This window comes from Homo sapiens, chromosome 1 (assembly GCF_000001405.40).
Source record: "Homo sapiens chromosome 1, GRCh38.p14 Primary Assembly".
Taxonomy (NCBI): domain Eukaryota; kingdom Metazoa; phylum Chordata; class Mammalia; order Primates; family Hominidae; genus Homo; species Homo sapiens.
Window position 1 is genome coordinate 214,085,030 of NC_000001.11, and position 27,402 is coordinate 214,112,431.

Here is a 27,402-nt window from a genome sequence, read left to right on the forward strand (position 1 = left end):
TTAAATACTAGTGCCTCTCTAAATGTATGTCTTAGACATTATATTTGAATTATTTCTCTTAGTCTTCAGGGACTTTTTTATGTTGAACTCTAAGGAATAATCCAAATATTTTGGCTAAATTCAAATTTGTTTTTATCAATTCTTCTTTTAGAGGCTCATAAGCTGAAACTTAGAAATGTCTCATGGCATGCAAATACTGTCATAATTATTCAATCTCTTTATGTGTTTGTGCTGGTCAAATCTTAGCCTTACCTATTAGATTGTAAACCCTTTAGGAATATCTTAAAGCATATAAATATTTTCTATAGCCCCTGCATTTCTCATGGCAGAATCATTATGTGATTGTGATCATAATGTTTGAATCCCATAGGTCTGCATACAAATGTAAAATATTTTATACACACATTAATACAAATCCAGTAGGTTTCCGCTGATCTATTTCCTCCATCACTTCTTGGCTGCATTTAATACTGTTGATCAATCACGTATCAAAGGTCCCTTCTTCCTGGACTTCCATTGTATTAACTTCTTGGCTGTCCTCCTAGCTCCCTGCCTCCTCTTGTTCCATATCTTTGGCTTTCCATCATCTCTTAATTTTTAATATCACACATCAATCTTTCTGAAAGCTTTCATTTCATGGTTCCATTATCACCCCTAACCTAATGCTCCCATTTACATCCCCAAATCTTACTGAGCTTTGGTCCTGTATTTCCAACTTCCTCTAGGATAGCTTCTCTAAAATATTTTGCTATCATTTGCCAGATCTGTTTGGTCCAAAGCTTTCTCTTGCTATCACTTATCACTTTCTCATTCATCAGTAGCATTTCATTGTCTTCCATTCACTCAAAGGAAACTTTAATGACAGCTTTGAATTCTTCTTGTTTATTCCTCTCCCCACATCTAACTGCTTTACCAAATTGTATTTCTCTTTTATTTGTGAAACAATATATCAGCTGCCTGTCTGACTTCAGGTTCTTCAGCTTACTGTGGTTGCCCAGTCCTTTAGGATTTAAATAAAAATGGTCTCAAATCCCCTTTCACCATTTCAGAGGAAACTCAAGGACTCTCTCAATGTTCCCAGAGTTTTCTGGGGATCTCATATTTCAGCTAGTCATTTTGGTACTTATTTGCTTCTTCTGATGAATTTTCAGTCTCCTTCCTAGTTCACTTCATGTGGCTGTTCACATTTTATACCCTGTTTGGACCCTCAAATGAAAAATGTTCCTTTTTCCTTATTTTACCTCAATACCTCTCACCTGACAAAGTTCTGTAGAGCAAACTTTACTGAAGATTTCAATAGTAATGACAAGGGGCTTGTGTGATTGTCTGCAGAGCAGACAGCAAAACTAAATATTCAAACTTCTCCATTTTTAAGAGTTATATATTTATTCATGTCACTGTGGAATATTCACTTCTTCCTTTTACTAGGGCTCTAGTCCCCATAGTTTCTGAGTTCTCTCTTTAATCGCCTATCTTCTTCTCAGCCTTCTCATCCTCCACCACAACCTCAAGTCAGTTCCTAGTCATTTTTCATGCAGGTAAAGTGGAGACAACTGTGACTCTCAAAACAGTGTGGCTATCACTTTATCTCACAACATTGAGAGCTTCTTACAAGTGAGCATCACTTTTGAGTCCTTTTTGTAAGGCCTATCATGCCTGATCCAATGACTACCATAGAGTAGGCTCTCAATAAATGGTTAATGAATTCAGTTTGGGTGGGGTAATTCCCTTTGAAAATGCAAATTGGTTTTTTTTTCACTTTGTAGTTTGCCTTTCAATGCAAATAACTAAACTGAAAACTCATTCCCATAGGTAGGCCAAACTTGGAAGGGTTAAAAAATCTATACCATGTATGATACCAAATAATCTGTTGGATTGATTTTTGACATTTGATATGGTTAGGCTTCATGTCCCCACCCAAATCTCATCTTGAATTGTAATCCCCAGGTGTTGAAAGAGAGACCTGGTGGGAGGTGACTGGATCATGGGGGTGGTTTTCACCATGCTGTTCTCATGATAATGAATAAGTCTCATGAGATCTGATGGTTTTATGAAAGGCAGTTCCCCTGCACTCGCTCACACACTCCCTCTGCTGCCTTGTGGAGAAGATGCCTGCTTTGCCTTCCGCCATGATTGTAAGTTTCCCGAGGCCTCCCCAGACATGAGGAACTGTGAGTCAATTAAACCTCTTTCCTTCATAAATTACCCAGTCTTAGGTATTTCGTTATAGCAGTGCGAAAATGGACTAATACAACATTAAAATACTCAATTCCTTGGAAACTATTTAATAGAAATTTGTATTTACTAGTTCAATAAATACTCATTAAACATCATCTGTGTATATTCTGTGTATATGCCAGGAGCTTGGTAGACTCCAAAGCTAATTACACATGGTCCTGACTCAGGATACCTGCAATCTATAGTGGTGACAAAGATTCATATAGTTATGATATGAAGTTAATGTACAGTCCACAGAGGGTTGCATTCTCTCAGTTGGTATAAGAATGGTCTGATTAAAACCTTCAGAGGGACAAAAGTTGTTGAGGCATGGGAATAGTAGAGGTGACCAACCCTTCAACTGGAATCTTGTGTTGACCTTGACATGTCATCAGAGGCTTATATCAAGTTCATGATTTGACTTTATTTATATATTTTATCTTGAAAAGCTTGCAATTTTAAATATCTCTAGAAAGCAAATAGAATTTTGTTCTGGATTTCACATTTCCATGCTTTTCTGAAAGCTACCATTCTTTTTCCATTACCACAACTGACACTCTACTTTCACTCACTGAAGGGATCAGAGATGGCTCTGAAATTCAGTCAGATGCATCATGGTCCCTCACACGCTACTAGCTTCATGGCCACAACCAATCAGACCTGACCACCTCCAAGTGAGAAGGGGCCATTTGGTCAAACACCAGCCACTGAAATCCAGTCTGTAATGCCCTTGCCTAATGACATTGTACCTGTGATTAGATACCACTGATAAAAAAGACCTCACTTCTTCTTAAAGCAGCCCATTTTAATGTTCCACATCTCCCTTAGAAATGTCTTCCCTTGGCCGGGTGCAGTGGCTCATGCCTGTAATCCCAGCACTTTAGGAGGCTGAGGCGGGTGGATTATGAGGCCAGGAGTTCAAGACCAGCCTGGCCAACACAGTGGAACCTGAAAAATTACTAAAAATACAAAAATTAGCTAGGCGTAGTGGCAGATGTCTGCAATCCCAGCTACTTGGGAGGCTGAGGCAGGAGAATCGCTTGAACCTGGGAGGCGGAGGTTGCAGTGAGCCGAGATCAGGCCACTGCACTCTCCAGCCTGGGTGACAGAGCTAGACTCCATCTCAAAAAAAAAAGAAAAAGAAAATAAAAGAAAGAAAGAAAAGAAATGTCTTCCCTTGTAGTGTGTGAAAATCTGTCTCTAAGCACCTTTATCTACTAGTTCTGGTTCTGGTTCTAATCCTTGTGGTCATCCAGAAGAAATCTAAAAACTTTTCCTTATGACAAATACTGTATCTGAAGATAACTACTACATTGATGTCTTCTCTTCCCCAGACTAAAAGTCTTCTGTGCCTTCAGCAACACTTATTTGGACTTGGTTTTGAGTCTTTCTTTTAGCCTGCTCACCTTCTTTGGAACATAACATTTTTCATTTTTTTTTTTAAGTATAGCATCCAGACAACATATCCCAAGTATGTATTAACTACAATAGAATAAAACAAGACGACCACCTCCATAATTTTCAACATGAACTACTATTAATACTTCTTAAAAGCACATTTTTGTGGCCATTCACAATATTTTTTTTACGTACTGAGGTTTTTTAAATTTTTATTTTAGGTTCAGGGGTACATATGAAGGTTTGTTATATAGGTAAATTTGTGTCATGGGGGTTTATTGTACAGATTATTTCGTCACCCAGGTATTAAGCCCAGTATCCAGTAGTTATCTTTTTTGCTCCTCTCTCTCCTCCCACCCTCCACCCTCAAGCAGATCCCAGTGTCTATTTTTTCTTTCTTTGTGTTCATAAGTTCTTATCATTTAACTCCCACTTACAAATGAGAACATTCGGTATTTGGTTTTCTGTTCCTACATTAGTTTGCTAAGGATAATAGCCTCCAGCTCCATTCATGTTCCCACAAAAGACATGATCTCATTCCTTTTCATGGCTGCATAGTATTCCATGGTGTATATGTACCACATTTTCTTTATCCAATCTGTCATTTATGGACATTTAGGTTGATTCCATGTCTTTGCTATTGTGAATAGTGCAATTAACACTCATGTGCATGTGTCTTTATGACAGAATGATTTATATTCCTTTGGTTATATACCCAGTAATGGGATTGATGGGTCGAATGGTATTTCTGCTTTTAGCTCTTTGAGGAACTGCCATACTGCTTTCCATAATGATAGAACTAATTTACACCCCTGCCAACAGGGTATAAGCATTCCCTTTCCTCCACAACCTTGCCAGCATCTATCATCCTTTGACTTTTTAATAATAGTCATTCTGACTGGTGTGAGATGCTATCTCGTCGTGGTTTTGATTTGCATTTCTCTAATAATCAGTGATACTGAGATTATTTTTCATATGCTTATTGGCTACATGTATGTCTTCTGAGAAGTGTCTGCTCATGTCCTTTGCCCACTTCTTAATGGAGTTGTTTTTCTCTTGTAAATTTAGTTCCTTATAGATGTTGGATATTAGACCTTTGTCAGATGCAAAGTTTGCAAATATTTTCTCCCCTTCTGTAGGTTGTCTGTTTACTCTGTTGTGATTTTCTTTTTGCTGTGCAGAAGCTCTTAAGTTTAATTAGATCCTGTTTGTCAATATTTGCTTTTGTTGTGATTGCTTTTGGTATTTTTGTCGTGAAATCTTTGCCCATTCCTATGCCCAGGATGATATTGCCTAGGTTGTCTTCCAGGGTTTTTATAGTTTTGGGTTTTACATTCAAGTCTTTAATCCACATTGAGGTGGTTTTTGTCTAAGGAAGGGGTCCAGCTTCAATCTTCTGCATATGGCTAGCCAGTTATCCCAGTACCATTTATTGAATAGGGAGTCTTTTCCCCATGGCTTGTTTTTTCAGTTTTGTCAAAGATCAGATGGTCATAGATGTGTGACCTTATTTCTGGGCTCTCTATTCTATTCCATTGGTCTATATGCCTGTTTTTGCACCAGTACCATGATGTTTTGGGTACTGTAGCCCTGTAGTATAGTTGAAGTCAGTTAACATGATGCCTCCAGCTTTGCTCTTTTTGCTTAGGAATGCCATGGCTATTCAGGTTCTTCTTTGATTCCATATGAATTTTAAAGTACCCTTTCCTAGTTCTGTGAAGAATGTCATTGGTGGTTTGACAGGAATCATATTGAACCTATAAATTGCTTTCAGTGGTATGGCCATTTTAATGATATTGATTCTCACTATACATGAACGTGAGATGTTTTTCCATTTGTTTGTGTCATCTCTGATTTCTTTGAGCAGTGTTTTGTAATTCTCATTATAGAGATATTTTACCTCCCTAGTTAGCTGTATTCCTAGGTATTTTATTCTTTTTGTGGCAATTGTGAATGGGATTGCCTTTTTGATTTGGCTCTTGTCTTGGCTGTTGTTGGTGTATAGGAATACTAGTGATTTTTGTAGATTGATTTTGTATATTAAAACTTTGTTGAAGTTGTTTATCAGCTGAAGGAGCTTTTGGGCCGAGAATATAGGGTTTTCTAGATATAGAATCATGTCATCTGCAAACAAAGATAGTTTGACTTTCTCACTTCCTATTTGGATGCCCTTTATTTCTTTCTCTTGCCTGACTGCTCTGGCTAGGACTTCTAATAATATGTTGAATAAAAGTGGTGAGAGGGAGCGTCTTTGTCTTGTGCTGGTTTTCAAGGGGAATGCTTCCAGCTTTTGCCCATTCAGTATAATGTTGGCTGTGGGTTTGTCATAGAGGGCTCTTACTATTTTGAGGTTACACACTGAATTTTATGTTAGCTAAAATTTCTAACTCCTTTTCACATATGCTATGGCTAAGCCATATATACCTGCCATATAGTAAGGGCTTGACAAATGTTAGCTATCATTATTAGCAGTTACTGTTTTTGTGAAAATAATTTTGATAAGTATGCTCTCCACAAGTTTGTCTAAACAATTAATTTAAACTTTTAAAAAATAAGACAAAGTATGGTTGAAGATGAAGTACACAGCATCCTTCTAACAACCCTCTCTCCTGAGTAACATCAATCCTGTACTTAAACTGCATTGGGCATGGACATTAAACCAGTTGCTAATCTACCCTGTTGTCTTTAGGAGACCAAGGTTTCCTTAGTATCACTTAGATCTGGATATGATGAGGTCCCATAGAACACAAATATCATTCACTAGGTTTGCCTCCCCCTGCTTCTGCAGATCCTCCCAGCCCAACAGAAAAACACACATCCCGGCTTGCTCCCTCCACTTCTACCTTGTAATCTGTGTACAATTCTCCTGGATGTTCCTGATGGTGTCTCCTACTTGCTAGTGTATATTTCTTTTTAGTTACTTTGTGCCATCTACCAGACACCATTGTTAATTCCACTGGGTACTATTACTTTTGGTGACCACAGCTACCATCCCTACTTGGTATAACACCAGTTGCTACTGCCAGGAACCATTGCTGTCTTCCAGTGCTTTCCCATATAGCACTGTTTTTGCTTTTGCCAACTCTGGTCCAACATGTAATTGCTTATACTAGACTCTCCAGTTCACCAAAGTGGGCTGTGATTTGTGGCAGATTTGGTGAGACTTTCTCATGCTTTTGAGCTACTGTTTGTTGGAAGGGCCCAGTTCAGTGTTGCTTAGGCCTTGATATCTTAATAAATTTTGGCATATGCTATGGTTTGAATGTGTACACTCCAAAATTCAGTTGTTGAAACTTAATGGCCAATGTGATAGTATGAAGAGGTGAGACCTTTAGGAAGTGAGTAGACCATAAGTGCTCCTCCCTCATGAATGGGATTAAGGCCCTTATAAATGAGGCTTCACACAGCATTTGGATCTTTTGCCCTTCTGTCTTCAACCACGTGAGGACACAGCATTCCTCCCCTCTGGAAGATCAGCAGCAAGCACCATCTTAAAAGCAGAGAGCAGCCCTCAGCAGACAATCAGATCTGCTGGTGTCTTGATCTTGGACTTCCCAGCCTCCAAAACTTAAGAAATAAATTTCTGTTCTTTATAAATTACCCAGTCTTAAGTATTTTGTTATAAAACCACAAACAGACTAACAAAGTACATTTTTTCATTTTTCTTTTCTTATTTTTTGGAGGGAGGAGTTTACATGTATAACCTCTTTTCCAGGGCTGAAACACTGGCTCCTGTGGCTGAGCCAGGAAGCGGGTCAGATTTGCTCTTCCTCTCCAACCATGATGCTTTGTTTTCTTGTCAAGTTTTTAACTGGTTTCCTCTTCCTTTTGGGTAAATTATCTCTCAGAAGCTGCCTCTGTCTATCTCCAGCATCAATCATGCAGCAAAAGCTTGAACCTCAAACGTGTGAACTCTACTACAAACACCCCCCCCCACACACACACATACACACACACACACACAACTACCACCTATGGACTCCTTTCCATGTGTGTGTCCCATGAAAAACTTTACCTATATTACCTCATTTCAATCATCACAGTAATCCTTACATGGGGCAAATATTATAATATCTATGAAGACACTAAGATTCCAAGAGTTCACATGGAAGAAGAGGCAAGATGTCCAACTAGATGCAGTCCCACCAAGAGACTTGACCATCAAGAAGACTAACACACTCCAAGCAGATATTCAGAAGGAAGGCATTGAGAGTGGGTAGAGGAAAGACACAGACCCTGAGCTGAAGGAGGAGGAAGCTGGATACCCTGCATGTGGCTGCCGAGCACGAGGACTCATTCCTGGCCCCCAGTAGCTCCTGGGGAAGGGGTGAGTTCAATAAGTGAGTAGTGCCCTCTCTCACCATAGGCCTCCAGAGTCCTAGCTGCAGGAGACCCCAGAACCTCTATGGACATTTGAATTGACATGGATAGCTGCTTAGAGAGATGGCAAGGACTGAAGCTTGTGTGAAGCCCAGAGGGTTTGTCATGGGAATGGCTGCAGTACAACACGACCAGGGATGCCCATCCCCCAAGGAACACCTTGGCCCCTCCAGTACAGCAGGTGCATAACCTTGAGGGGCTACAGAACAAAGCTGTGGACCTAGTAGCAGCCTCACAGGGTTAGATCATGCAGCCAAGGAGGGCTGAGTTGAGCTTTGGCCCCCTGAAATCATCCAGAAACAAAGCCAATTGACTAAAGTACTTATACAATAGTCAAACCTTTAAGGGGATCAAAAAACATAAAAGCAAAAAACCCCATCCAAAGGACATCAACTTCAAAGATCAAAGGAATATCAACCCACATAGATGAGAAAGAACTAGCACAAGAACTGTGGTACATCTAAAAGCCGGAGTGTCTTCTTACCTCCAAACAACCACACTAGCTCCCCAGCAATAATTCTTAGCAGGCTGAAATGGCTGAAATGACAGACAGAGAATTCAGAATCTGGATAGCAACAAAGATCATCGAGACTTAGGAGAAAGTCAAACCCAATCCAAGGAATCTAAAGAATCTAAAAAATGATACAAGAGCTGAAAGACAAAATAGCCATTTTAAGAAAAAACTAAACCGATCCCATAGAGCTGAAAAGCTCACTACAATAATTTTATAATACAATTGAAAATATTAACAGCAGAAAAACCAAGCTCAGAAAAGAAAAGAATCTCAGAAGTCAAAGACTTTGACTCAAAGATTTGAATCAACTAATTCAAACAAAAATAAAGAAAAAGAATAATAAAGAATGACTAAAACTTCCAAGAAATATGGGCTAATAATATAAAGAGACTAAACCTATGACTTATTGGCACCCCTGAAAGAGAGGGAGAGAGAGTAAGCAACTTGGAAAACATTTGACGATATTGTCCATGAAAATTTCCCCAACCTTGCCAGAGAAATTGACGTTCAAATTCAGGAAATTCAAAGAACCACTATGAGATACTATCCAAGACAACTGTCCCCAAGAAACATAATCATCAGTTTCTCCAAGGTCAACATGAAAGAAAAAATATTAAAGGCAGCTGGAGGAAGAGGCAGGTCACCTACAAAGGGAACCCCCATCAGGCTAACAGCAGACTTTTCAGCAGAAATCCTCCAAGCCAGAAGAGATTCAGGGCCCATATTCACCATTTTTAAAGAAAAGAAATTTTGACCAAGAATTTTATATTCAACCAAACTAAGCTTCATAAACAAAGGGAAAATAAAATCTTTTTTAGACAAGCAAATGCTAAGGGAATTCATTGCCACCAGACCTGTCTTATAAGAGATCCTTAAGGGGGTACTATACATGGAAACAAAGACTGTTACTGCCCACCACAGAAACACATAGACCATTGATACTATAAAGCAACTACACAATCGACTCTGCATAACAACCAGTTAATGATGACAGGATCAAATCTGCACATATCAGTCTTAACCTTGAACATAAATAGGCTAAAAGGCACAGAGTGGCAAGATGAATAAAGAAGGAAGGCTCACCTATATGCTATCTTCAAGAGATTCATCAAACATACAGTGACACCCATGGGCTCAAAGTAAAGATATGGAGAAAAATATATCAAACAAATGGGAAACAAAAAAGTGTAGGGGTTGGTATTCTAATTTAAGACAAAACAGATTTAAGCCAACAATGATCAAAAAAGACAAAGAAGGTCATTACGTAATAATAAAGGTTTCAATTCAATGAGAAGACTTAACTATACTAAATATATATGCACCCAACACTGGAGAACCCATATTCATAAAACAAGTTCTTAGAGACCTATGAAGATACTTTGATAACCACACAATAACAGTGAGAGACTTCAACACCCCACTGACAGTATTAGACAGATCATCAGGGCAGAAAATTAACAAAGATATTCAGAACCTAAACTCAATACTTGACCAAATGGACCTAGCACACATCTACAGAACGATCCACTCAACAGAAGAATATACATTCTTATTTGCACATGGCACGTACTATGAAATTGACCACATGCTTAGCCATAAAACAATTCTCAACAAATTCAACAAAGCCAAAATCACACTCTCAGACCACAGCACAATAAAAACAGAAATCAATATTGAGATTTCTGAAAACCATACAATTGCATGAAAATTAGCAACCTGTTCTTGAATGACTTTTGGGTAAACAATAAAATTAAGACAGAAATCAAGAAATTATTTGAAATTAATGAAAACAAAGAACAACATACCAGAATCTCTGGGAAGCAGCTAAAGCCGTGTTAAAAGGAAAGTTTATAGTGCTAAACACCCACTTCAAAAACTCAGAAAGATCTCAAATTTACAACCTAACATTGCAACTAGAGGAATTAGAAAAACAAGAGCAAACCAACCCAAAACCTAGCAGAAGAAAAGAAATAATGAAAATCAGAGCTGAAGTGAATGAAATTGAGATGCGAAAAACCATACAAAAGATCAGTGAAACCAAAAGTTGGTATTTGAAAGAATACATAAGATTAATAGACTGCTGTTTCAACTAATAAAGAAAAAGAGAAGATCCAAAGAAACACAGTCAGAAATCACTAAGGGGTCATTACCACTGATCCCACAAAAATACAAAAAATCCTCAGAGACTATTATTAACACCTCTATGTACACAAACTACAAAGCCTAGAAGTAATGGATGAGTTCCTGGAAACATACAATCTCCCAAGATTGAACCAGGAAGAAATTGAAACCCTGAACAGACAAATAATGAGTTCTGAAATTGAATAAGCAATAAAAAGCCTACCAACCAAAAAAAGCCCTGTACCTGATGGATTCACAGCCAAATTCTACCAGATGTATAAAGAAGGTTGGTACCAATCCTACTAAAACTATTCCAAAAATTTGAGAAGGAAAGATTCCTCCATAACTCATTCTATGAGGCAAGCATCATTCTGACACCAAAAACCTCACAGTGACACAATAAAATAAAATAAAATAAAATAAATAAAATAAAATAAAATAAAATAAAATAAAATAAAATAAAATTCAGGCCAATATCCCTGATGAACATAGACATAAAAATCCTGAACAAAACACTAGCAAATCAAATCCAGCAGTACATCAAAAAGCTAATTCACCATGATCAAGTAGGCTTTATTCCTAGGATGCAAGGTTGGTTCAACATACACAAATCAAAAAATGTGATTCATCACATAATCAGAACTAAAAACAAAAAACACATGATCATCTCAATAGATGCAGAAAAGGCTTTTGATTAAATTCAACATCACTTTATGTTAAAAACTCCCAACAAACTGGACATTGAAGGAACATACCTCAAAATAATAAGAGCCATCTATGATAAACCCACAGTCAAAATTATACTGAACAGGCAAAAGCTGGAAGCATTCCCCTTGAGAACCAGAACAAGACAACCATGCCCATTCTCAGCACTCCTATTCAACATAGTACTGGAAGTCCTAGCCAGAGAGATTAGGCAAGAGAAAGAAATAAAAGGCATCCAAATAGGAAGAGAGGAAGTCAAGCTATCTCTCTTCACAGACGATAAGGTTTTATACCTGGAAAACCCCATAGTCTCTGCCCAAAAGTTCCTAGTTCTGATAAACAACTTCAGCAAAGTTTCAGGATTCAAAATCAGTGTACAAAAACCAGTAGCATTTCTATACACCAACAACATCCAAATCAAGAACATAATCCCTTTTGCAATAGCTACCAAAAAAAAAAAAAAATACTTAGGAATACAACTAACCAGGGAGGTGAAAGATCTCTAAAATGAGAATTACAAAACACTGCTGAAAGAAATCACAGATGGCAAAAACAAATGGAAAAACATTTAAAGCTCACGGATAGGAAGAATAAATATTGTTAAAATGGCCATACTATCCAAAGCAATTTACAGATTCAATGCTACTCTTATCAAACTACCAATGACATTTTTCACAGAATTAGAAAAAATTGCTCCAAAATTCATATAGAAACAAAAAACAGTCTGAATAGCCAAACCAATCCTAGGCAAAAAGAACAAGACCAGAGGCATCACACTACCTAACTTCAAACTGTATTACAAGATTACAGTAACCAAAACAGCATTGTACTGGTACAAAAATAGACACAAAGACCCATGGAATAGGTTAGAGAACACATAAATAAAGCTACACCTACAACCACCTGATCTTTGAAAAAGCTGAAAAAACAAGCAATGGAGAAAGGGCTCCCTATTCAATAAATAGCGCTGAAATATCTGGCTAGTCATATGCAGAAAATTGAAACTGGACTCTTTCATCATATACAAACATCAACTCACAATGGATTAAAGACTTAAATATACAACCTAAAACTATAAAAACCCTAGAAGAAAAACCTAGAAAACATCATTCTGGATGTAGGCCCTGGCAAATATTTTAAGAGAAAGACTGCAAAAGCAATTGTAGCAAAAACAAAAATTGACACCCGGGACATAATTAAACTAAAGTGCTTTTGCACAACAAAAGAAATTATCAATAGAGCAAACAGACAACCTAGAGAATGGAAGAAAATATTCACAAACTATGCATCCAACAAAGGTCTAATATCCAGAATCTATAAGGAACTTGAGCAAATTAACAAGCAAAAAACAAACAACCCCATTTTAAAAAAGGGGCAAAGGAGATGAAAATAGACTTCTCAAAAGAAGACATACACATGGCCAACAAGCATATGAAAAAATGTTCAACATCACTAATTATCAGAGAAATGCAAACCAAAACCACAATGAGATACCATCTCACACCAGCCAGAATGGCTATTATTAAAAAGTCAAAAAATAACACGCTGGAGAAGTTGCAGAAAAAAGGAACACTTATACATTGCTGGTGGGAATGTAAATTAGTTCAGCCACTGTGGAAAGCAGTTTGGCAATTTCTCAAAGCAGTTAAAACTGAGCTACCGTTAGACCCAGCAATCCCATTACTGGGTACATACCCAAAGGAATATAAATCATTCTGCCCTAAAGACATGTGCACACATATGTTCATCACAGCACTATTCACAACAGCAAAGATATGGAATCAACCTAAATGTCCATCAGTGGTGAACTGGATAAAGAAAATGTGGTACATATAGACTGTGGAATACTCTGCAGCCATAAAAAAAGAATATCATGTCAGATCATGTCCTTTGTAGCAACATGGATGGAGCTGAAGGTCATTATCCTAAGCAAATTAACATGGAAATGGAAAACCAAATACATGTTCTCACTTACAAGTGCACATGGACACAAAGAAGGGAACAATAGACACCAGGGTCTATTTGAGGGTGAAGGGTGGGAGGGAAGAGGGTAAGGATTGAAAAACTACCTGTCAAGTACTATGCTTATTACCTGTGTGATGAAATAATCTGTACACCAAAGCTCCATGACATGCAATTTACCCATGTAGTAACAAACCTGCACATGTACCCTCTCAACCTAAAATAAAAGTTGAAAAGAAAAGAAAAATCAATACAAAAAGGTGTTTTGGAAAAAAAAAAGACTTTACATAGCTTGCTCAAGGTCACACAATAAGATGCTGACAGAACTGTGATTTAATCTGTGCTTATAAATGCCATGTTATTCTCCCCCCCTTCATTCAGACCTTCTTTCTCCATCTTATGCCCAAGTATCAAGTAATGAAGTACCATATCCAATACCTCAGTTGCCATACCCACACCCACTAATGTCATTTCCCTGTCAAAGACAGACATAGATTATTCCAGAATGACTTGTTCTTTGTGAATGTACCCTGGCTCTTGATGAATATGTTTCTTAGAAACTTCTCAAGGACAATCTATTATGGCACTATATTGTCAGACTCACTGGTGTAAAGTTTCCCTAATCCATATTTTTATTTCGTTTTGAGTTAGGGCAAAACTTGCTCACATGTCGTCTTCTGATACCTCTCATTCTCTCCAGTTCCTCAAAGAGGTTAGACTGTGCTACAGTGACTGAATTTACGAGTCCTTTCACAACCTGGAACTTAATATTTCTTAGCAATAAGCTCTTTCTCAGTCGGGTGCCATGGCTTATGTAATCCCAGCAGTTTGGAAGGCCGAGGTGGGTGGATCAGTTGAGGTCAGGAGTTCAAGACCAGCCTGGCCAACATGGTGTAACCCCGTCTCTACTAAAAATACAAAAAAAAGGCTTGGTGGTGGACACCTGTAATCCCAGCTACTCAGGAGGCTGAGGCAAAAGAATCCCTTGAACCCAGGAGGCAGAGGTTGCAGTGAACCAAGATTGCACCACTGCACTCCAGCCTGGGGCTACAAAGTGAGACTCTGTCAAAAAAAAAAAAAAAAAGCTCCTTCCTCTGTTTATAGACCTTAAGACAATCTGTAATTCTTACTTCCAAGTTATTGAAATTAAATCTTGTTAGTTACCTATGCTATATGTCCTGCTAGGTTAAGAAGGCACTAGATCCACACATTGCAGTCCACAGTCTAGTGCAGGAGACAGATACATAAAAACTTAATAGTAATAAGTGTAACCAAAATAAGAACAAAACTGAGGGGCACAGACGAGGTTCCCCAAAAGACTGGAGGGTTGATTCTAGCCCAAGGAGTCAGAGGAAGTTAAACAAAGCCAAAGTCTACAATTCATCCAGAAGGATGACTAGAAATTTGCCAGGTACAAATTTTAATGGAGAAAAGAGGGAACAACACTTATTAGAGATATTATTCTCAGATACCACAAATCATGTTCCTCAGATACCACAGTCAACAAATTCTTCCACCCAAGAGCTTCCATGGATTTTCTCCTATTATATTTATTCCAAACTACTCAGCCTAGCCTTGAAGACTTCCACTAGTTTCATTCACTAGTTCATTGAACCCGTTAGTTGAATTTGTTTATTGAGTGCCCACCAGAAGCCTGGCACTGTTCTAGGCACTGGAAACAGTAGGAAACAAAACAGAAAGCCTCACCTCAAACTTACTCTTAACTTGGGCCTACAGAGCTTGCCTCCTAGTAGAGACAGACAATGAACAAATAAATAAGGAAGGTATATAGAAAAGTAGATATGTGACGAAAAACAAAGAAGGGAAGGTTGTTCAAGAAATGCCAGGCAGAGGTAGAAAGTGGTCAGAAAACACCTCCCTGAAAAGATGCCATAAATGACTTGAAGGAGATAAACGTATGTGAGGGGAAGAACATGCAAAGCCAGGGGAGTCACAATGTGAAAATTCTGAGGCGGACGTATCTGGACATGGCCGAAGAAAATGTGGAGGCCAGTTAAACTGGAGCCAAGGGAGCAAAAGGGAAAATGGCAGGCGACGAGGTCAAAGAGGCATTGTAAGGACTTTGGTTTTATTCTGAGCAAGATGGGAATTGTAGTAGGGTTTTGAGCAGAGGAGTAATGGGACCCAATATGTCTTCATGGGAGCATTCTGACTGCAGAGCTGTACAGACATTGAGAAGGCGATGAGGAAAGAAAGAAGAGGAAAAGATAGTAAGTTCTGGAGAGTAAGCACCTGTCCCAGGTGACAGATGACAGATAATGGGGTTTGGACGAAGGTGGTGTCATGATGGTGGTATAAAAGAATGTATTTTGGATATAATTTCAAGGTAGAGCTGGAAATAGTTGCTTATGATTTCAATATAGAACACAATAGGACAGAGAGAGACAGAGAGAGAGAGAGAGAGAGAGAATGGGAGAGGGAGAAAGGGAAGTCATGGGTGACTCCAAGGTTTTTGACCTGAGCAAGAAGATTGGAGTTTTCATTTACTAATATGGGGAAGACTGTTGGAGAAGTAGGTTTGGCGGCTGGTAGGGGGCAGGTCATGTTAAGCCTGAGATGCCCATTAAATATCCAAGTAGAAATGTCAAATAGGCAGTTGGGTATAGGCATTCTAGGGAGAGTTCTGGGCTAGAGACAGAAATTTGAAAGCATATAACTTTGCTTTGGCTGCCATAATAAAACCACAGACTATGTGGCTAAAACAGCAGAAATTTATTTTCTCACAGTTCTGGAGGCTAGAAGTCCAAGATCTAGATGTGGGCTTCTCTTGAGGCTTGCAAATGGCTGCTTTCTCACTGTATCCTCCTGTGCTCAGTTCCCTGTGCACACCCCTGGTGTCACTTTGTGTGTCCACATTTCCTCCTCTTATAAAGACACCAGTTAAATTGGATTAGGGCCCACCCTAACAGCGTCATCTTAACTTCATCACTTCTTTAAAGACCCTGTCTCCAAATACAGTCACACCAGGGATTAGGGCTGCAACGTGTGATTTGGAGGGGAGGGCACAATTCAGAATTCAGCCCATAAAAGGGAGTCCTCAGCTTATTGAAAGAGATTAGATAAGATCATTAAGGGAATGAACATACAGGAAGGAGAAAAGAGGTCTGAAGGTGGAGCTGTGGTGCTCCTCAGATGTTTAAAGGTCAGGAAGATAAATAGGAACTGGCAAAAGAGAATTAGTGGCCAGTGAATTGGAGGAAATCCAGCAATGCATTGTATCCTAAGAGCCTGGTAAGGGGGACACTTCAAGGAGAAGGAAGTCAGAGGAAGTCATCTATATAGTCAAATGCTTCTGAGACACAAAGAAGAGGAGTACTGAGAAGTAGCCATTGAATTCAGAAACATGGACGTCATCAGCAACCTTGATGAAAGCAGTTTGGTTGTTTGGTGGAGAAGAAAAGCAGATTGGAGGAGTGAGAATTAAAGAGGAATTGCAACACTGAATATCAACTCTTCTGAGTGTTGCTGTAAAGAAGACTAGAGAAACGGAAGAAGCTAAAGGGTAATAAGAGCTCAAGGCAGGAATTTTGTTTAAGCTGGGAAAAAATAGCAATGGTTGTATGCTAACGGAGATTATGCATTAGAAAGGAAGAAGTCGATAATGCAGAGTGATGTCCTTGAGTAGCAAGACTCAAGGCTGCTTGTAGTATCTAGCAGCAAATGTGAAGGGGTTTTCCTTATCTAGGAACCTGTACATCAAAGGTAGAGCACACAGCACAAAGGCACAGAGGTGGGTAGATGGGATTATAATGTTTATGGAATTTCCCTCTGAGTATGGATGGGAGGGAAGATATTGAATATTTGAGGAAAGAGAAGAGGGTGTGAAATAGTTGTCTAGGCCAGAGACAAAGTGAATGGACTAGGAAATTAGAGTGGAATTGGCTGCCAACACTGAGAGCAAAGTTGAAGTTAGTCATCTGAATTTAAACTGAGATCACTCACCGTAGTGGTATATTTTTCTCCAGCCATGTTCAGCTAGGAAGGTGCAGGTGCCCTGAAGATTAAGTGTTAGATTTACCCAGGGCTGGGGTTTTCCAGACAAGTTTGATGAGGAGGGAAGGGGTGTGAGAGTTAGAATGTTACATAGGGAATGACTTTAATGATGGACCTTAGAATCTCAACTAGGGAAGAAGAGAAACAAGGACATAAGTCAAGCGCATGACATTAAAATAGTGCTAGGTTCAAAGGACATCCTGGTAGGCTAATTGGAATTGTAGTCATCACAGTACTTAAGGGAGAGAGCTAGAAAAATAGAAAAGATTGGCCAGAAATCTCTTTTCTCATTTCTATCCTAAATGGCAGAATTCCAGAAGCAAGGGCTATGATTTTTACCTATTTTTCTATCCCCAGAAGTGCCTTTTAAAAAGTTCCTATAACAGACATCTCTTGATGAGTGAACCATTATTGTGTTACCAACTTGAGAATTATTTTCAGGAGACAGCATGAGAATACTGGAAGCTGCACTAAGAGATCAAGACCATCTGGGTTCAAGCGAAGTCTTTGCCTCTTCCTCACTGTTTGTGGGCTCATTTCTTAACCATTGTCAGCTTCACTTGGTTCATCTGTAAAATGAAGAAAATAATAACTGCCCTGCAGTTATTGTGAAGATCAAATGCAATAAGGTATGTGAAAGTGCTTTGTAAACTAAAAGGCAAATTAACAATAACCTGAAATAGCCACGAGATCATGAATCACCCAGCAAAGGGAGAAACATAAGCCTCCAAGGACTTTTGAGGGGGACCTTTGTGCTCCTTCCATCCTCTATGACTAAGCCACACGTCATGCTTGTAGGACTCCAGGCTTTATTTGCAGCTTTCTCATTTACCCAGCCCCTTTTTTTGTACTCCTAAGCTCTGCATTCTTATCAGAGAGGGATAAAGAAGGACAGGAAGGGGAAGTGGGGAAAACCAGAGTAGGAGAAGAATGGAGGAGAGTAGGATGGAAATAATGTTTTCTACATGCATTATGTGCACCGTGCACTCTGCAAAAATCTCATTTAGTCTTTGATCTACCATTATTCAGTATCATCCTCCCAATTTATAGATGAGGAAACAGACTCAGAAAGTTTAAATTATTTGACCCAAATTACACAATGAGTAGAAATAGCAGAACTGGAAATCAACCTCTTCTCTTTCTGAATTTAAAGCCCAGGGCTTTCCTAGTAAGCCCTGGGGTGTACGGCTAATCCAAAGCAATCTTCTCTGCTGAAGAAAAATTATCTTTTGGGAGGATTTTCTGAACTAAATCTCTCATTTCTCTGTGATACTTAAGCTCCCAGGGGGGGAAAAAAAAAGAGCAGCATGTAATCAAAGAAAAGAATACTAAAATTACTAAAATTCTTAGGGCGAGAAGTTATTCATATCAAAGTGAAAACTACTTAGATTTTGAAAGTGAGTTGTCTTAAAAAGCTCTTCTTAGCTTCTCATTGGCTCAGAAGTTCTTCACTAAGAGGCTTATGGCAACATGATAGAGGGGGAAAGAGAGCTATACTAGCAGCTCAGATTCTTATTATCAGGCCATCTTAGTGTTGATCTGTATATCTATTCCTGAATAAGCATCTGCCTCAAATATAATGGCTTGAAACAATAATTTGTTACTATTTTCCCCAGCTCTGAGAACTGACTGGGCTCTGCTGGACGGTTGTTGCATAGGCCTTCTCCCTGTACTTGCAATCAGGTGTTGGCTGGGCTGCAGCCATCCGAAGGCTCACTAGGGCTGCACATCCCCAGTGACTCCCCTCCTGAATGGCATTTGATGAGTGGAAGTTCAGAGCACCCACACACAGTTCCTTCATGCAGCTAGGGCTTCTCACAATACAATGGCTGGGTCCTAAGTGAGAGAACGCCAAAAGTGAACAGTCCAATAAGTAGAAGACAGATACTTCCAGGCCAGTAAACGGCTATGCCTGAAACTGGCATAGCGTCACTTCTGCTGTATCCCATTGGTCAAAGCAGTCACAGATCCCACTCGGATTCAAGAGGGTAGAGAAATAAACTCCACTCTTTTGACGGGGGGGAAGCAACATCACATTGAAGAAGAAACTGGGAGATGGGAGATAGCATTGCATCCATCATTGGAAAATAATGACTAGATACAGTCACTCATGCTTGTAACTTCAGTGCCTTGTGAAGACAAGGTTGAAGGATTGCTGGAGGCTGGGAGTTTGAGACCAGCCTGGTCAACATAGGAAGACTCATCTCTACAAAGATAAAAATTACCTGGGCATGGCAACTCACTCTGGTTGTCCTAGCTACTCAGCAGGCTGAATCGGGAGGCTTGTTTGAGCCCAGCAGTTTGAGGCTGCAGTAAGCTATGATAGTGCTACTGCACTCCAGCATAGGTGGAGTGCAGAAAAAAAGAAAGAAAAGAAAACACAGCCTGCCATAATCACTAGTTCAATGACATCCACAAAGTTAGAATAGCCTCTATATCAAACTCCTGCCTTTGGAGCTTCATGTAGCCCTTGCCAGCCTCTCTGCCCACATCTCACACCATTTTCTTGCTATGCTACAGCTATACTGTCTTCTTTCTTTTCTTCATACCTCAGAGTTTGGACATTTATGAACAAAATCCCCTTCCCTTTCCCTCAGTTCTTCCCATGGGGGCCTCCCTCTTATCATTCAGGTCTCAACTCAAATATTGCCTCTTCTGGGAGAACTTCCCTGACTAATACATGTGACTCTTTCACATCCTCCATACCCTTTATGTGTTTGCTTTCTTATCTACCATCTCTGTTCCACTGCTACTCACAAGTTGTGAAAGGACAGTGATTTTGTCTGTCTTCTTCACTGCTGTATCCCCAGTGCCTACACTAACGTCCCTTGCATCATGGTCATTCAACAATTTTTGTTGAACGAATAAATGAATGAACAAATGAATAACCCAGTCAAGTGGCAGCCAGTGACATCTAAGACAACATCTAAAATGTCATTCGTTCCACAAAAATTACAGAATCCTTCTTATGACAGATTCTGCACTAGTTCTCCAGGAAGCTATTTTGTCTCTGGACACAACTTAGACAATTCGTGCTTGATGTTATCAATTTACCCAACTAAAACCTTCATTATTTGTTTACTAATAAGATGAATTCAGGAGTTTTCAAACTGTGGGTCCAAGTGCATTAGCTCTGTGACTGTAACCCCCAGGAAGAGGCTACAGAGACAGGAGAAAAGAGAAGCCATGAGACGCCATCATCACTTTCAGCACAGCAACAATCTTTTCATTTGCTTTATCTGTGGGGGTTCTGTATAAGATTTAGCTTGAAAAACATTCTACTGCTAAAAATAAGACTAGATGATCTCTTCAATTCTGTCCTATGTTCTGTTCTTCATGATGACAGTTCTCAAAGTGCGGCCTTCCAGTCCCTGTATCAAAATCAACACATTGGACACTGTGGAAGATGCAGATTCTGTGGCCCCTACTGAATTAAAGTTTCTGGCCATGTGACCAAGGAATCTGTATTTTAACGGGCACCTCGGGGTATTCTTAGGTACTCTAAAGTTTAAGAATCATTGCTTATTATGTAGGAAAAACTGGATAAAGTACAAAAATAAGCTGTTATGCAAAGTAGAACTCTCTTTCCTCGGGGATGACCTCTTGCAAAAAGGAATGTCTTTTCTCAGCATATACGGAATTTTTTGGAGAAGTAGGCATGGCTCTAGACTGCAGGATAACTAGAATGTGTGTTTTACTTGCTAGAAGCCCTAATTGTTCCCACTATTATCTCTTTTTAACCCAGTGATTGAAGCCAGTACGCACGTGTGCTCACACAAACACACACACACACACACATATATAATACACATACACAATGCCTATGGCCAGTATCACAGCCAACCTACCACCTCACTCAGCTGTGTCCTGCCAATTAAGCACTTCTTGAGTGGTAGAAGAGCAGGGCCCTTAAAATTCCAAGCATAAAACAGCTAATAAGAGTATCTTGTTTAACAAAGTAATAAAGCAGAGGCAAAAAAAAAAAAAAAAAAGCTGCAAAGTTTTCTTGGTGATCATTGTTTAACACTGTATGTAATTAAATATGAACGAAAGTATGCTACTTTCATTTTGTGAGCAATTTAATTCAATTAAAAATAAATGGGTCTCCTTGGCTCAGTGGGCATACTGATATACAGAACAGCACTGCCCTTAACTTGGTTTCCACTGTGTTTAAATCCAGCACGGGCAAAGCTACTGAAATACAACCCCAGGCTAACGCGATTAACTCATTCCCCAAGAGCCAATAGCAGACCTCATCCGGTCAACTGAGTACAGTGCTTTGCAGCATAATATGTTTTAATTTAAAAGAAGTTTATCAAGCGTTTGCCATGTGGCGTGAAGAGACGTTTAAGACATCTCGTAGCAGTCAAAACAGTGGTTATCTTGGGGCAGGCTAGGCATTGACTGGAAAGACACTGGAGGAAGCTGGAAATGTTCTGAATCCTGATGTGGGTGTTGGTTAGCAAATAGACGTTCATATATATGCATGTGTATGTATAAATACACATTGAGCCGTACACCTAAGATGAATGCAATTTTTGTATTTGACTGCAAATATTTTATACCTCAACCAAGGAAAAAGAGACACTTTTTCTGCCCCCAAGGATCTCGCACTGTTATTATTAGGCACCACAGGCATCAGATTCTCCGCTTACCATCTGGCTGGGGAGCCACATAAAAATACTTGAGGGCACTTATTTTGTGATAAAAACATATACAAATCTTAAAGCACCCTTAGGAAGAAAACGACAAATAAGAGGCAATCAATTTTTGCAAACTTCTTGCTCAGGGCCATATGCAGTACAGAGGACCCCCTGGGTGTGGTAAGTCCTCAGCTCAGCTTTGAAGATGGGGAAGAGGAATAAGGAGATATAGGGGGTAGGGGGTTGGGGAGGGGACAGGAAATGGCGTGGAGCAAAAGCAAGGTGTGGGACCCCCGGCCCAGGGGCAAATTAACCCTGTGTCAGGACTCCTGCTGATGGGGGCATCCCAGAGAGTGAGTGAGGAGGTGGGACTGGCTGGCGGGGAGGGGCAGACAGATGCACTTTGTCCTGGCCCCAGTTCCAAGCCGGGGTTCCAGGGATAACTGTCAAGGGCGGTCCGCACTCGCAGGCCCAGGAGGTAATGGATCCGCGCCGCTGCTGCGATAACTGGAGCTGCTCTTTCATTTCACCCAGAAGAGCCGTTGTTTGGGAATGAACTCCGGGATTCCAGAGGCCACGTCTAATAATAACACCCTTATCAACGCTGCAAGGCTGAACCGAGCCTGAGTGTGTGTGTATCTCTGGGTACCCAGGGGCCAGTGCCCAGCCCTGAAAGGAGAGCTGAGCCCTGGTGAATGGAGAGGAAAATGCCAATCTGTTGACAAAAAGTTCGCTGCTAAAAACGAAACCCCGGCCAACATTTTACAACCTGGACGCATTGTTAATGTAGTGGTTTATCTGGCAGGAATAGGAAGCTGTGTTTGAAAACAATGTATCCTTTTTAGGTGCAAGGTCAGCGTCTGTAGGACCTCGGGGTGACACCCGCCTCCCACCCCCACCCCCAGCCCAGCTCCTGGGAGAACAGCTCCAAGCCTGGCCCCCAGGCTTCCTGGGCAGAGGAAGGCGTGCTCCGCAGGCCCACAATGCAGGGAAGATGCTATCCTCTCCGGCAGGCGGGGTGCCCCACTGCACACAGGCCTCATTGAGGCCTGCCAGGGCCTCCCCCACCTCCTCCCAGAGCCAGGTGAGGTTGAGAGCAGAGAAAATCCAGAAGTACCTCTTTTAAAACTAGTCTCATTGGGAAAGAAAGTGCCAGGGGCTTGAGAGCTCGCCTTGGGTGAGAGAGAGTAGGCTCCATCCCTGAGTAGCTGTGCAAGAGATTTAACCTCCCAGGTCTGTGGTTTACTCACATGCAAAGGCAAATGAGATGAATACCTACCACAAAGGGCTACTGTGTGGATGAAATGACCTTGTGGAAATGAAGCACTTAGCATGCACCATGCCTGGTATGTGGCCAGGACTCAGTGAAGGGATTTTGCACTGGCTGCACCCTCCTCCTAGAACATTCTTTTTTTTTTTTTTTTTTTTTTTTTTTTTGTGATGGAGTCTCACTCTGTCACCCAGGCTGGAGGGCAGTGGCGCGATCTCAGCTCACTGCAACCTCCACCTCCGGGGTTCAAGGGATTCTCCTGCCTCAGCCTCCCAGTAGCTAGGATTACAGGCACGTGCCACCACGCCTGTCTAATTTTTGTATTTTTAGTAAGGATGAAGTTTCACCATGTTGGTCAGGGTGGTCTGGAACTCCTGACCTCAAGTGATCGTCCGCCTTGGCCTCCCAAAGTGCTGGGATTACAGGCGTGATTCACTGCACCCGGCTAAACATTCTTTTTAAGAAAGGCTTGTTCCCTTACCTGCCCCAGGTCCCTTCTCTGCTTTATTTTTCTCCACAGTGCTTACTACTAATATCTTAAGTCTTTTTTTTTTCATCTTATTTATTATCTGTCTCTCTCAAACCAGAGAGAAGCTCTGTGAGAAGGGTCTGTGTTTTGTCTACTGAGGAATCCTCAGAACCTAGAATAGTGCCCAGCATAGAATAGTTGTTCAATAAACATTGAATAAAGGGTACATGATGATGTAGATGAGGATTTTAGTGTACCAAGTTCCCAGTTTACATTCTCATCTCAAATTTCATAAGGTCGGTAATCTCTACTATACGATAAGCATCTCCAGGCAGGAACTGTATCTTATAAGTCTAGATTCTCCATAGCTAAGGTAGATAGATTTAGCAAAGAAAAATACAAGACACCCCTGGTAAGTTTCCATTTCAGATAAATAATACATTTATGGTATGAATACATCCAAAATATTGCATGGGACATACTTACACTAAAACATTATTCATTGTTTATCTAAAATTAAAATTAACTAGACATCCTGTATTTTATCTGGCATTGCTATCCATAGTACTTATGCAGTAAGCTCAAAATGAGCAGGTGCTACATAAGTGAATAATATGCTCAAAATCCAGAGAAATCAGAATAAACCTAAATAAAATAGGAAGGTCAGGCTCAGTGGAGTGCTGGTAATGTTTCCCAACTGAATTTTCAGGGGGGAAAAGAAGGCTTGATTTACAACATTTGCCAATTTCCTTTTTTTTTTTTTTTTGTTTTAATTTTGATGGAGTTTCACTCTGTCACCCAGGTTGGAGGGCTATGGTGCAATCTCAGCTCACTGCAACCTCTGCCTCCCAGGTTCAAGTGATTTTCTGCCTCATGCCTCCTGAGTAGCTGGGACTACAGGCACACACCACCATGCGTGGCTAATTTTTGTATTTTTATTATAGTAGAGTAGGCGTTTCACCATGTTGGCCAGGCTGGACTCAAACTCCTGACTTTATGAGACCCTCCCATTTCGGCCTACCAAAATGCTGGGATCACAGGCGTGAGCCAATTTCCTTGGTGTAAACACTCCCACCATGACCAATTTCAGGCTACCAAGGAGATATGACTGAACAAAGTTGGAAATAGATGAGCTTCATCAGCTTTGGCAAGCCAATATGAGCCAGCTTCAGCCTAAAAGTCACAGGAATAAGGAAATAGACAACAAGCAAACAAGAAAAATGCAATTTAAAACCTGTACCCACTATACTTTACCAAGGCCTTCCTGACCACTTCCTCATAAAAATTATCTCAAACTTAAAATCCTATGAGGCAGAAATGATGAGACCTATTGCTTCAGCAATGGGCAAAGAAGCCAGAAAGAATTTAGAAATTGTCTATTTACAGGTAGTAGACAGTTCAAGCTCTTTCCCCCAAACCATTCTGCCTCTGCAGTCACGAAATATGGAAGCCAAGGGGGCCTCCAATGTCAGAGGTCAACAGGTCAACCTGCCCATTCCTCTGTAGAGAAAACTGAGGCAAGGAGTAAAACGGCACACTCCTTCAGAGCTGGGAGTAGAACCTGTACCACGGCCCCCCACTTTGTGTGTGTGTGTGTGTGTGTGTGTGTGTGTGTGTGTGTGTGTGTGTGATGCATAAAGAAATTCTCAAAGTGTGTTCTAGTAACATGGGGAGCCTAAGAAATAAGCACAGACACTCCTAACGGAGTCAACATGGGGTAAGTATGCAGAGTTATTTTTGGTTTTGTTTTTAATGCGACCAGCCAGGGTTTCTGCTTTCTTAATCTCACCCAGATGATATGAAAACTTAGACCAGAATAGAGAGCACTTGTTGCAAAGAAGTAGCCAGAGCCGCAATGACCAGTGGTGGTCAGGAGGAAGGGGACAAAGAGGACTCACCCGAGATCATCAATGTTGACACACTAATTGAAACAAGAACCCACCAAGTTCTAAAACAGCCCCCTGTACGTCTCTCTCCACTCTTCCTCCTGGAGGTACCACTGAGGACAGAGCCATGCATGAGAACCCGCGCTCTGCCAGTAACCATGGTGGGTGGGCACAGGAAAGTCACTTCCCTTGCTCTCCACTGTTTCCCCAGCTATGAAACCAAAATGGGATTTCTGGGGCCTTTCCCATCAAAGACATCTATGATATTCCCTCTTTAACCTCATGTGTTTCTCCCTCCATCCTCCCCCCTCCTTCATTATCTTCCTTTTTCTCATTTCTTAAAAATCTTCTTTCCCTTACCTTGCCTCCCCCTGCACATCCTCTGTCACTCCTCTCCCTTTTCTGCACCACAGCCTTACACTCTCTCTCTCTCTCTCTCTGTTTCATCGTCATTCTCTTGGTACCACCACCCCAAGCCCCTGGAACACATGCTGCTGGAATTAACATCGGCTCTTACTTAGACAGAAACTCTCTCATAAAAGAAAAACATGATATAGGAAAGGCAGGAGTGGATGCTGGCTGGATGGAGAGGCAATCTTCAGAGCAAGCAGCCCCCAGTGTTACTCTTCTATTCATATATATTAACTACGCCCTTCTCTTTATCTGGAGAGCACTTTGCCAGCTACACAAACAAAAGATTATGCAGATTATCATAAGCAAAGAGAAAAAAATAATCTTAATTACACATCCCCAAACGTAAGCCCCCTGAATGAGAGCACCTGGGCATCCCAAGGCCATGTGTGCCCTCCAGGAGAATGATGCGGCTTCGCCAGTCCCCCTTGTAGTGGGCACCACAGAGTCCTAAGAGGCAAGCGTGCCCTGAGACTTCCCAGCTTGCTGGAAACTCTGAAAGGAAATGAGAGCCCTCAAGGCTCATTAGACCTATTTATACAGTTCTTCGTGGGGGAAAAATTAAATCTTCCAAACACAGATAAATACACCCCTGTGACAAATGAAGTAGCTAGTCATGGTTAAACCCCGGTCCCAGTGCTGACAAACGTACTAGTTGAGCCCCCCAGGCAAGATCAACATATTTATTTATCTTGAATTGCCTTTAGTTGGGAGAAAAGGAACACAGGGCTACTACATGTGTGGAGGAATGAGCGCCGGGCTTGGGGAGAGAAGTAGCAGGCAGCAATGCTGTAAGGTAGGAAAGACAAAGGAAGGTTACGCACTCAGCCGGGTGGTCAACCCACACCTCTCCCTGCCCAGCCCTCCCCATGCCATCTGCTGACCTTGGAGGTTTCTCAACCCAGCCTGTGCTGGCAACCGGCTATCCCGCTACCTGTACACTGTATCCTCGGCGACTCCAACAGCACAGGGTGACACAGGAGTGCCCTCGAAATGGCTCACTTCCTGCCCCTCTGCATTTCTCGGTAGGCCTTGTCTTTCTAGGAGCCACTCCTTTTCTGGGAAAGGTTGGCAGCATCAGGGAATGGCCCTGGCAGGAAGTGGCCAGACACATCCGAGGCCCTCCAAGAAGAGATAGTGATAAGATAGAAGAGAAAAATGATAGGACTTAGGCTGACTCCTGATAATCTCCATTCCTGGACGGGGAGCTGCACAGTCCACAGCTGCCCAGCCTGTGCAGTGGCCATGAGCCACAGGTGAGCAGTTGGGAGGTGATAAGCCTGAAATGAGATGTGCTGTAAACATGCAACTGGTGCCTGTAATCCCAGCACTTTGGGAGGCCAAGGTGGGCAGATCACGAGGTCAGGAGATCGAGACCATCCTGGCTAACACGGTGAAACCCTGTCTCTACT

The 27,402-nt window shown here is 40.9% G+C and overlaps 1 long non-coding RNA gene across 1 annotated transcript in view, besides 3 other annotated features; it reads right to left on the reverse strand.

Annotated features, from left to right (window-relative positions):
- The window catches only part of LINC02775 (long intergenic non-protein coding RNA 2775), a 58,251-nt gene extending 31,117 nt beyond the window's left edge, over positions 1–27,134 (reverse strand). Inside the window, exon 1 of the long non-coding RNA XR_922584.2 lies at positions 26,875–27,134. This is a non-coding gene — a long non-coding RNA (long intergenic non-protein coding RNA 2775). The remainder of the gene's footprint in view (positions 1–26,874) is intronic.
- Positions 17,197–18,396: an enhancer, noted in NCBI's record as "CDK7 strongly-dependent group 2 enhancer chr1:214275569-214276768 (GRCh37/hg19 assembly coordinates)". NCBI's record gives its function as "activates an origin of replication core promoter dependent on BRD2, BRD4, P300/CBP, MED14 and CDK7 cofactors, with strong dependence on CDK7, by STARR-seq in HCT116 cells {active_cell/tissue: HCT116}" and the evidence as "EXISTENCE:reporter gene assay evidence [ECO:0000049][PMID:35650434]".
- Positions 22,223–23,708: an enhancer, noted in NCBI's record as "VISTA enhancer hs2357". NCBI's record gives its function as "enhancer in: heart[8/11]" and the evidence as "EXISTENCE:transgenic organism evidence [ECO:0001131][PMID:17130149]".
- Positions 23,057–23,351: a silencer, noted in NCBI's record as "tiled region #3036; HepG2 Repressive DNase matched - State 8:EnhW". NCBI's record gives its function as "represses a minimal TATA promoter and a strong SV40 promoter by Sharpr-MPRA in HepG2 cells {active_cell/tissue: HepG2}" and the evidence as "EXISTENCE:reporter gene assay evidence [ECO:0000049][PMID:27701403]".
- Positions 27,135–27,402: the final 268 nt, after the last annotated feature.